This window comes from Homo sapiens, chromosome 11 (genome assembly GCF_000001405.40).
Source record: "Homo sapiens chromosome 11, GRCh38.p14 Primary Assembly".
Lineage (NCBI taxonomy): Eukaryota > Metazoa > Chordata > Mammalia > Primates > Hominidae > Homo > Homo sapiens.
In genome coordinates this window covers 125,872,520-125,882,902 of record NC_000011.10, presented here as the reverse complement: position 1 = coordinate 125,882,902, position 10,383 = coordinate 125,872,520, and the positions used below count along the sequence as shown (strand labels likewise).

The 10,383-nt window shown below is 39.3% G+C and overlaps 1 long non-coding RNA gene across 1 annotated transcript; it reads left to right on the top strand.

The window, feature by feature from the left end:
• Window positions 48–9,547, top strand: LINC03136 (long intergenic non-protein coding RNA 3136). The gene is made up of 2 exons (XR_007062935.1): window positions 48–8,657; window positions 9,218–9,547. It is a non-coding gene; the product is annotated as a long intergenic non-protein coding RNA 3136 (long non-coding RNA).
• The last annotated feature ends 836 nt before the right edge of the window (window positions 9,548–10,383 follow it).

The window sequence follows — 10,383 nt, the reverse complement described above, 5'->3', positions numbered from 1 at the left end:
CGACAGAGCAAGACTCTGTCTCCAAAAAAAAATAAATAAATAAAATAATAAATAAAAAATTTAAAAAAGTATTTGATAATCAATTCTGCAAATATTTAATGAACACCTGTTGTAAGTGCTGTGCTATGTCTTCGTGATTTGATAGTGAATAAAAAGACACAATTTCTGCCCTTATGGAGCTTTTGGTCTGATAGGAGAAATTGACATTGATGAAACAATCACAAATTACAGTTGTCCCTCAGTATAATCTGGGTATTGGTTTCAGGGCCCCTGCATATACCAAAAATCCATGCATACTTAAGTCCTAAAGTTAGACCTACAGAACCCACTTATATGAAAAGGTTGGCCCTCTGTATACCCAGGTTTCATATCTCTCAAATACTGCATTTTCCATTGCCTTTTGTTGAAAAAAATTCACGTATAAGTGAACCTGTGAAGTTCAAACTTGTGTTGTTCAAGAGGCAACTGTATTATAAAATTACAGTTGTGTTCAATGCTAAGGAAAGGCAAATGGTTCAATGAGAACATTTAATAATAGGGAGATTTGGCATAGTGTCACTGAACCAAGAATTGAAGGATAAGTAGGTGAAAGGACGTGGAGGGAAGTGAAGAGGGTGAAAGGAGTTTGCTAGGTAGTGGGAAAAGCATACTCAAAGGTCTATAAGAATGGAAGAGTCAAGAAACAGAAAGACCAGCAAAGAAAATAATGGTAGAGATGAGACTGAGAGATAGGCAGGGGTCAAATCATGCAGGTCCTGTAGGCCAAGGCAAGAGATTTGATAAGAGCTATAGAAACTGAAGTGTTTTAAGCAGGGTTGGGGCATGGCTAATTAGTCAGATAAGGGCTACATATTCAGTTTTGCATTTGAAATTATCTGTTGGCAGCACTGAGGAGAATGGATTTGAAGAGGAGAAGATTGTATGTGAAGTCCAAGTGGGAGATAGTTGGATTATTCCAGGTGGAAGACTGTGGTGGTTTAGGCTAGGAGGATAATAGCCAGAGATTTCAAGAAGGGGATAGAGATAGTTAGTTGCTAGAACTCATGATGACTTGAAATGGATTGACTGGGGTTGGGATGTGAAAGAGAGGCAGGTCATGGATTATTCATAGGATTCCTGTTTGTGCAGCTGGATTCTGTTTTCTGAGATAGGGAATACAGGAAGAAAACTGTTTTGAGAGGCAGAGTTAGATTTTGGGCATGTAGAATTTGAGATACCCTGGGGACTTCCAGGTGGAGATAAAAGTAGGTAGAATATAAGCTCATATTATGGTATCATATTATCTAGGCACAAATTCTGCCTCCTCTACTCCCTGGTTTGTGATAAGGACAAGTTACTTAGCCTACTTTTAAGAAGTAAAAAAGAATGAGGACTGAGCATGGAGCTTAGATGAAACATATGGCCTGGAGATATGGATGTATGACTCATTTGCATATAGGTGGATGTAGTTTAAGTAAAGGGTAAGAATAAAGTCTTCCAGGGAGAAAGTGCAGAATGAAAGAAGGCAGCCTGTGTGATACCAAGTGTGTTCACTGCCTTCTCCTGAAACTCTCATTCGTGGAACTCTGAGAGTACCCTGTCCTGGCTCTCCTCCCACCTCTTTTCTGCCACTCAACTATTGCTGTACCCCAAGTATTGATCCTTTCCGTTTTTTTTTTTTTTTTTAAACCTTGGAGAGCTTAATGGTTTTGTTGCTTCCACTATCCATTTTATGTGGAGTAATTTCAAAATCTGTATTTCCAATCCTTACCTCTTTCCTGAGTTTCTAATATCTACCTTAGCTGTATTCTAGAATTTCTACATAGATGTCTTTTCATCTTCCCAAATGCAACATATCTGAATTTTTTTTTTTTTTTTTTGAGACAGAGTCTTGCTCTGTTGCCCAGGCTGGAGTGTAGTGGCGCAATCTCAGCTCACTGCAAACTCTGCCTCTTGGGTTCATGCCATTCTCCTGCCTCAGCCTCCCAAGTAGCTGGGACTGCAGGTGCCCGCCACCACGCCTGGCTAATTTTTTTGTGTTTTTAGTAGAGACGGGGTTTCACCATGTTATCCAGGATGGTCTCAATCTCCTGACCTCATGATCCGCCCGCCTCGGCCTCCCAAATATCTGAAATTTTTATTACTCATCTTTCCTCTCTGGATTCACCTTGCGATTCCCCTGTTTCTATCTGTGGTATTAATCACTCCCAACACTTAAGCATTTTTTACTCTTTCTCATCCCCATTTTTCTAACAAACATTACATTATTCAGCTTTATTTCTCTCCTTTCCATTTCCTTTTTGCTACTAATTACTAGTTCAGTCCTAATTATTTCATTCTTGGATTCTTTCAGTAACACATTTAATAATATGGGAGGACATGACTATCAAAAGATACGATTACAGCAAATTTAGCTTCAAGTTCAAATTGGCTTTTATTTGTGATTCCAGAATCAACACCTCATTTTATAAAATAGAATGAGTGTTCAGATGAAGTGAGCAGAGGAGTTTGGCTTCATAGGCAGAAAAGGGTAGAAGAAAGCAGAAATGGAACAAAAAGTAGATTGGTCGGTTCAAAATTTCTTTCCTTATAGTGTTAAAACAGGGAACATCCTCATCATGCTAGCTTAGGTAATCCGTACTCCTGATTGGCTGCTATGAATCTTCTGTTTTTGGAAAACTGGCCTGTTTCAGAGGTCAGTTTGATTATGTGGCACCTAATGTGAACGACTTCATTCTGGTTGGTTTGATCTCTTGGAACCTCGTGCAGGAAGCTAGTCCAAACAGTGGCCTCCCATACTTTGTTTACATGGCATAGTTCAGAATATAAGCTCATATTATGGTGTCATATTATCTAGGTACAAATTCTGCCTTCTCTACTCCCTAGTTTGTGATAAGGACAAGTTACTTAGCATCTCTTTGACTCAATTTTCTCACTTATAAAATGGGGATAATACACTTGAGCATGGGAGGTAGAGGCTGTAGTGAGCTATGATCACACCACTGCACTCTAGCCTGGACAACATCTCACCCAGGCTAGAAATCTCACCTTTGAAATCTCTTAAATGATAAGAGTGGCTTTTGAATGCTAGTGAGATGACTGGTTGCAGGATGGGGGCTGGTCACCAGAAAGACCGAGGCATGATGAGTGTTGGGACTTTCAGCCCCATCTCCCAGCCACCAGGGAGGGGAGAGAGGCTGCAGACTGAGTTGATCACCAATGACCAGTGTAATCAATCATGCCTATGTAATAAAGTTTCCATAAAAAGTTAAAAGGATAGCTTGTGGGGAGCTTCTGAATAGCTGAACATATAGAGGTTCCTTGAGGGTGGCATGCTCAGAGAGGGCATGGAAGCTTCATACCCCCCTCACATGCCTTGCCCTATGTACCTCTTCCAGCTGGCTGTTCATCTGTATCCTTTGTAATATCCTCCGTAATTAGTGAGTTGATGTAAGTAAAATGTTTGCCTGAGTTCTGTAAGCTGCTCTAGCAAGTTAACTGAATCTAAGGAGGGGGTTGTAGGGGCTCCCAATTTATTGCTGGTCAGTCAGAAGTATGGGTGACAGTCTACTACTTGTGACTGGCATCTGAAGCGGGGGGAATTCTTGCGGGCCTGAGCCCTCAACCTGTGGGATTTGACCCTATTTCCAAGTATATAGAATCATAATTGAACTAGAAGACACCCAGCTGATGTCCACTGCAGAGCTGATTGCTTGGTGTGTGGGGAAATAACTCCCACACATGTGGTGTGGGAAGTGTTGTGTTGAGTGGTATGTGAGAGTGGAGGGGAAAAAATGTTCACTAATTCAATTTCCTTTGTAGGGTTGTGATGAGAATTAAATTAAAAAGTGCATGTTAGCACAGTGTCTACCAAGTAATAATAACTAAATACATTATAGATATTGTATAGTATTGTTATTCTTTATTCTTACTCTTATTAGATGAATAGCTCCCTGCCTTCCCTTATATCTCTCTTGGCTCAATCCATCCTACGTCATTGCCAGATGAATCTTCCTAAAACTTTAATCAAGTTATTCTGCTTAAGCACTTGCAGTGACTTCTCTTTGCCAGAGTAAATTCAGTTTGCCTGGGTTCCTGCACAATCTGGAGCCATCGTGCCTTTTCAGTCTTATTTCCCCTCTACTCAAGTCCTCTACTCTAGCTAGTTTTGTTTCTTCGCTGTCCTGAAAGCCACTTGGTTTATTTAACTCTGTGCCCTATACTGCCTTCTTTATCTAGATTGACCTCTCCTCTCTTTCCAAATCCTGTGGAGCTCTTGAATTCTCAGCTCCAACTCACCTCTTCTACCAAGCCCTGCCTAACTACCCTTAAGCCATCGGAATCTGACCATCTTTGAAATTTTTGTAGCACTTGCTTTTATTTGTCATTTAACATCTACAACATTTAGATCGAGACTGTTACTATTCTGTTTAGTCTTATCTTTTCTTCTTGAGATGCTCATTCCTTTCCAATCTTACTTTCTGATATTTCATAATGTGAACCCTTCACCAGTATGTTTACTAAACACTCAAATGTCAGCTCTGATGATGATGGACAATCAAAAATGTCCCCAGACATCACCAAATGTCCACCGTGAGGTCAACATATCCAGGATTGAGAATCAGCATCTAGTATTCACAACATCTAGCATTGCTACATGATGATGATGATGATGAAGAGATGATGTACATTTCCACTGATAGTCATACACGGCCTTCTCTGTTTATGTCTTTCCAGCAATCACAAAGGCAGTGTGTTATACAGGAAACAGCAACAAAGGATCAGGAATCAGGAGACTAAAGTTCTGGTCTCAGTAATTTGCTCTCATAATTTGGATAAGTTAGTCAGTCTGTGTTTCAGCTACTTCACCTACAAAATCAATAGTTAAATGAGATATTGTTAATTGCTTCCATTCTAAAATTCTTTTCTTCTTAAATCTATTTTTTAAAGGCCAACTCATTTTTCTCAATTATTCTTACTTACATATTAAGCATTTTTACTCACAATTTGCCTTACTGTTATTACTTTTCCAAGTATATGTGTCTTATTCTCTCAAGAATATTAAGCTTTTTGGGGCACCATATGTCTTACATTTGTTGTTATTCATAACATCTAGTATTGCCACATGTACAATGAAAATCAAGTTTGGTTGAATTAATTTTGCTTTATTTTCATTTTTGGTAATTTTAGCCTTGGGATCCCTCAGAAGAAGAACATTTAGTTACTACCTTTCACTTAGTAATTTATTTCACTTAGTTCCTGTCCTGAAATTACTAATAATAAATGAGATTCCTCATTTGGGAGGGACAGATGTTGTAAATGTTGATGCAGAGTGAAAGATATTAATGTTGTAAATCAGGGTTTCTCAACCTCAGCACTATTGACGTTTTTGTCTTGATACTTCTTTTTTTATTTTTAATTTAATTTAATTTAATTTATTTTATTTTATTTTTGAGATGGAGTCTCACTCTGTCGCCCAGGCTGGAGTGCAGTGGTGCAATCTTGGCTCACTGAAAGCTCCGCCTCCCGGGTTCACGCCATTCTCCTGCCTCAGCCTCCCGAGTAGCTGGGACTACAGGCACCCGCCACCACGCCCGGCTAATTTTTTGTATTTCTAGTAGAGACGGGGTTTCACTGTGTTAGCCAGGATGGTCTTGATCTCCTGACCTCATGATCCACTTGCCTCGGCCTCCCAAAGTGCTGGGATTACAGGCGTGAGCCACCCGCCCAGCCTTGTCTTGATACTTCTTTGTTATGGGGGCTGTTCTGTGCATTTTAGGATGTTTGGCAGCATTCCTGGCCTCTACCCACTAGATGCAGCAGCACTCTTTCGATTGTGACCATCAAAAATGTCTCTAGACATCACCAAAAGTCTACTGTGGGAGTTACAACATCCAGGATTGAGAATCAACTATTTTAAATAAAAGGAAGACTAGACATGCCAGATTGTGAGTGAGGTTTTCTTGTATTTCTTTTCTTTTCTTTTTTTTTGAATTTTACTTTAAGCTCTGGGATACATATGCAGAATGTGCAGGTTTGTTACATAGGTATTCGTGTGCCATGGTGGTTTGCTGCACCTATCAACCCGTCATCTAGGTTTTAAGCCCCTCATGCATTAGGTATTTGTCCTAATGTTCTCCCTCCCCTTGCCCCCCACCCCCTGACAGGCCCCCATGTGTGATGTTCCCCTTCCTGTGTCCATGTGTTCTCACTGTTCAACTCTCACTTATGAGTGAGAACATGCAGCGTTTGGTTTTCTGTTCTTGGGTTAGTTTGCTGAGGCTGATGGTTTCCAGCTTCATCCATGTCCCTGCAAAGGACATGAACTCGTGAATGAGGTTTTCTTTACATCATATTTCTTTGTATCTGATTTACTTCTTAAATTTTTAGAAATAAGAGATCCTCTGTCACTTTATCCAATTACCTCCACTGGTAACATCTTGCAAAACTACAGTGCAATATCACACAAGGATATTAACACTGATAAGGTCAAGATAAAGAACAAAGTTCCCTCATGTTGCCATTTTATATCCACACCCAATGTCTTTCCACCCTAACTTCCTATTTAAATGGAATCATACAGTATAGAACTTTTTGGGATTTTTTTTTTTTCACTCAAAAAATTATCTGGAGATTCATCCAGGTTGTTGTTCTTTTCCATTGTTGAGCAGTATTCCATGGCTTGGATGTATCACAGTTTGTTTAAACATTTACCCGCTGGGGGACATCTGGATTATTTCCATTTTTTTTTTTTTTTTGCAATTTTGAACAGTGTTACTATAAACATTCACATACAGATTTTTGTGTGAGTATGTTTTCATTTCTCTGGGATAAATGCTCAAGAGTACAGTTGCCTGGCTACATGGTAGTTGCATGTTTAGTTTTAAAAGAAACTGCCAAACTAATTTATTTTCATGTACATTTTACATTCCCATCAGTGGTGTATGAATGATGCAGTTTTTGTGCATCCTCACCAGCATTTGGTGTTGTCAGTTTTTAATTTCAGCCACCCTCTAGGTATGTAGTAACATTCCATTGTGGTTTTAATCTACATTAAATTCAATGTAGCTAATAATGTTGAAAATCTTTTCATGCATTTTTTATTTGAATATTCTCTTTAGTGAACTGTTTTCATGTCTTTTGCTAATTTTCCAGTTGTATTATTTATTTTTTTAATGTTGAATTTTCAGAGTTCTTTATATATTCTAGATACTAGTCTTTTGCCAAATAGGTGGTATGAAAATATGTTCTCCTGGTCTATAGGTTGTATTTTTATGCCCTTAATAGAGCCTTTCACCAAGCAAAGCTTTTAAAATTTATTAAGTCCAATTAATTAATTTTTCCTTTTATGGATCATACATTTAGTGGCAAGTCTAAGAACTCTTTACTTAGTTCCAAATCCCCCAAATTTTCTCCTTTTTTTCTAAAAGTTTTATATAGTTTTACATTTTGTATATTTAAGTCTGTGATCCATCCTGAGTTAATTTTTGTATAAGGTGGATATGGTTTGGATATGGTTTGTTTGTCTCCACCAAAACTCATGTTGAAATTTGATCCCCTATGTGGTGATGTTGGGCTGTGGGACCTAGTGGGAAGTGTTTGGGTTTTGGGGGTGGATCCCTCATGAAATGGCTTTGCATTCTCACTCTGGCAACACAGGAATGGATTAGTTCCCATAAGAGTGGGTTGTTATAAAGCCCAGATGCTCTTCAGGTTTTCTCTCTTTGTACCTGTTCTCTTCTCTTTTGACCTTGTCTGCCATGTTATGACACCCTCACCAGAAGCCAGGGTGGCCATGTCCTTGAACTTCCAAGCCTGCAGAACCATGAGCTAAATAAACCTCTTTTCTTTCTAAATTACCCAATCTCAGGTGTTTAGAGAATGGTTTACCCTTAGAGAATGGTTCTGGTGAACTTCTGGATTTAAAATCTCCTTACTAATTAAGTACTGTTTTAACTGGGGGCAGAATGTGTGCCTTAAAAGAACGTAGGGACCTAATGGCTGTTTTCCTGCTGATGGGACAGTATCAGAACTAAAATTTGGCTTTGGAGGACATTTTACTCCTAATTGTTGAAGGCAGTGTTTTCGCATTCACAGAAGGGGCATAAAGCCTGGTCTCTAGTATAGGGGTGCAAAAAGGGAGGAGAATTGGGAGGCTAGAGTGTTACAGCAATGGACCAACGCTGTGCCTCATGGAGAGGATTCCTATTCCACTAGGTGGCGACGTTGACCTAGAAATACCGTGCGCTTCCCAGAGGAAGGGTAGAGGGAGAAATGCTTATTGAGAAGGGCTCTTTGCTCCTAGAAAATGACAGAAAACAGCATTCCCTTGTGCTATATTCTCAGTTACTATGGCATTCGCTAATCTTTCCTAACAGGACTATTTTCCTGAACTGTAAAAATTCTCAAACACTGCATACACAGAGAGGATAGGAGACATGGCCTTTGCGGATAGGAAATGAGGAAATTTTGCGATAGGACAGCTGTAGATCCTGTTGCGGACACCCAGCCGGGCAGTTGGAGGTGGGGTCAGTCCAGAAGCCTTCAGATAACACCAGGGTGTAGTCCTGGCGAGAAATCTTCAGTTGCTTCAGGACCTTTTCTAGCCCCACGCGACGGCTAGGTCCTCCGTGAGAGAAAACTGGTTCGAGAAGCATGGCCAACATTCCCAATGATCCGTGAGTATTGAGAAGTTCTCCATGTTCTCCCAAGCAAGCCTAACATCTGAGACTTCCCGCATGGCGGCCGCCCTATTAGCATTTAGGTGGCTATAGGATGCCCATTGTTTGAACTTAAGATGGAGGCCGAGAGCCTCCAAATGAAAGGACAGAGTTGAAAGTTAAGTTCTGCGCCTGTACTCACCCCTCTGATGAATATACCTTCTGTTCTGATTCTGATCCTGGGCGAGTCCCCACAATGAAGTGGTGTTGTCTGTCTGGGGAAATAACTGAGGTTCGTTGTCTCGCGCTAAGGAGAACAAAGATGTGGGCACACAGGGAATGGGTTTAAGAGCAGAAAGTTTAATAGGTGAAAGAAACAAGAGGAAAGCTCCCCTGTGCAGAGGGAGGGGGTTCCGAAGGGATCTCCCGGGTTGCGGTGGGAAGCGGCTGGTTTTATAGAGGGCTTGAGGAGGCAGTATCTGATTTACATAGGGCCTAGGGATTTAGTTGGACCAAGTGTGCCATTTACATAGTCCACAAAGAGGCTGGCCATCCCACCCTAATCTTTCTTTTATTAGGCAGATGTGGTTTCCACCTGGCCGGTGCCATGACACCCACACACATGGCGACAAGGAGAAGGGAGAAGAAAACCTATTTGTTGTATATACCTGGCTTTTGGCACAGCTGCCGGGATTCACCTGTGCAAGTTTCCAGCTTGCTTATCTATGCTTGCAGCTTGATTTTTCAGGCTACTTTCTGTTAGAAAAGAAATGATTTGGGGGCTGCTTTCTATTAAAAGAAAAACCTTACCAAGGACTCCTGTACCCTCACTATCTGCCTAAATAATTTCTTAACGCCTATATTATTCCCTTTAAATAAATTTTTTTGTGGTGTTTGTCTTATTGTTATTAGGTTATGAGAATTCATTATACATTCAAGAAATATATAATTCATTATATAAAAATAGTTTTATAAATTAAATATAAATATATAAATATATAATTTATTACATAGTCAGGAAATATATTCAGTCCTTTTTGGGAAATATTTTCTCTCAGTCTATAGTTTGTCCTTTCTTATACTTAACAGTATGTTTTTTAGAGCAGAAGGTTTTACTTTAAAAAATTATTAATATTATTTTGACTGATATCTTTGACTAGAACATTACTGGTGTATAGAAATGGCACTGATATCTGTACATTAATTTTGTATCTTTAAACTTTAACTGAATTCATTTATCAAATCTAAGCGATTTTTGGTGGAGTCTTTAGGGTTTTCCAAATATAAGATTATATCGTCAGTGAACAGGGATAATTTGACTTCCTCTTTTTTAATTTGGATGTCTTTTATATTTTTCTCTTGTCTGATTGCTTTGGTGAGGACTTCCAGTACCATGTTGAATAAGAGTGGTGAAAGTAGGCAACTTTGTCTTGTTCCAGTTCTTGGAGGGAATGCTTTCAACTTTTTCCCATTTGGTATGATGTTGGCTATGAGTTTATTATATGTGACTCTTATTATTTTGATTTATGTTCCTTTGATGCCTAGTTTGGTGAGGGTTTTTATGATAAAGGGATGCTTAATTTTATCAAATGCTTTTTTAGCATCTATTAGATGATCATATGATTTTTGTTCTTAATTCTGTTTATGTGATGTATCTTATTTGTTGATTTGCAAATGTTGAAGCATTCATGCATTTCTGGTATAAAAGTCACTTGATTGTGGTGTATTATCTTTTCAATGTGTT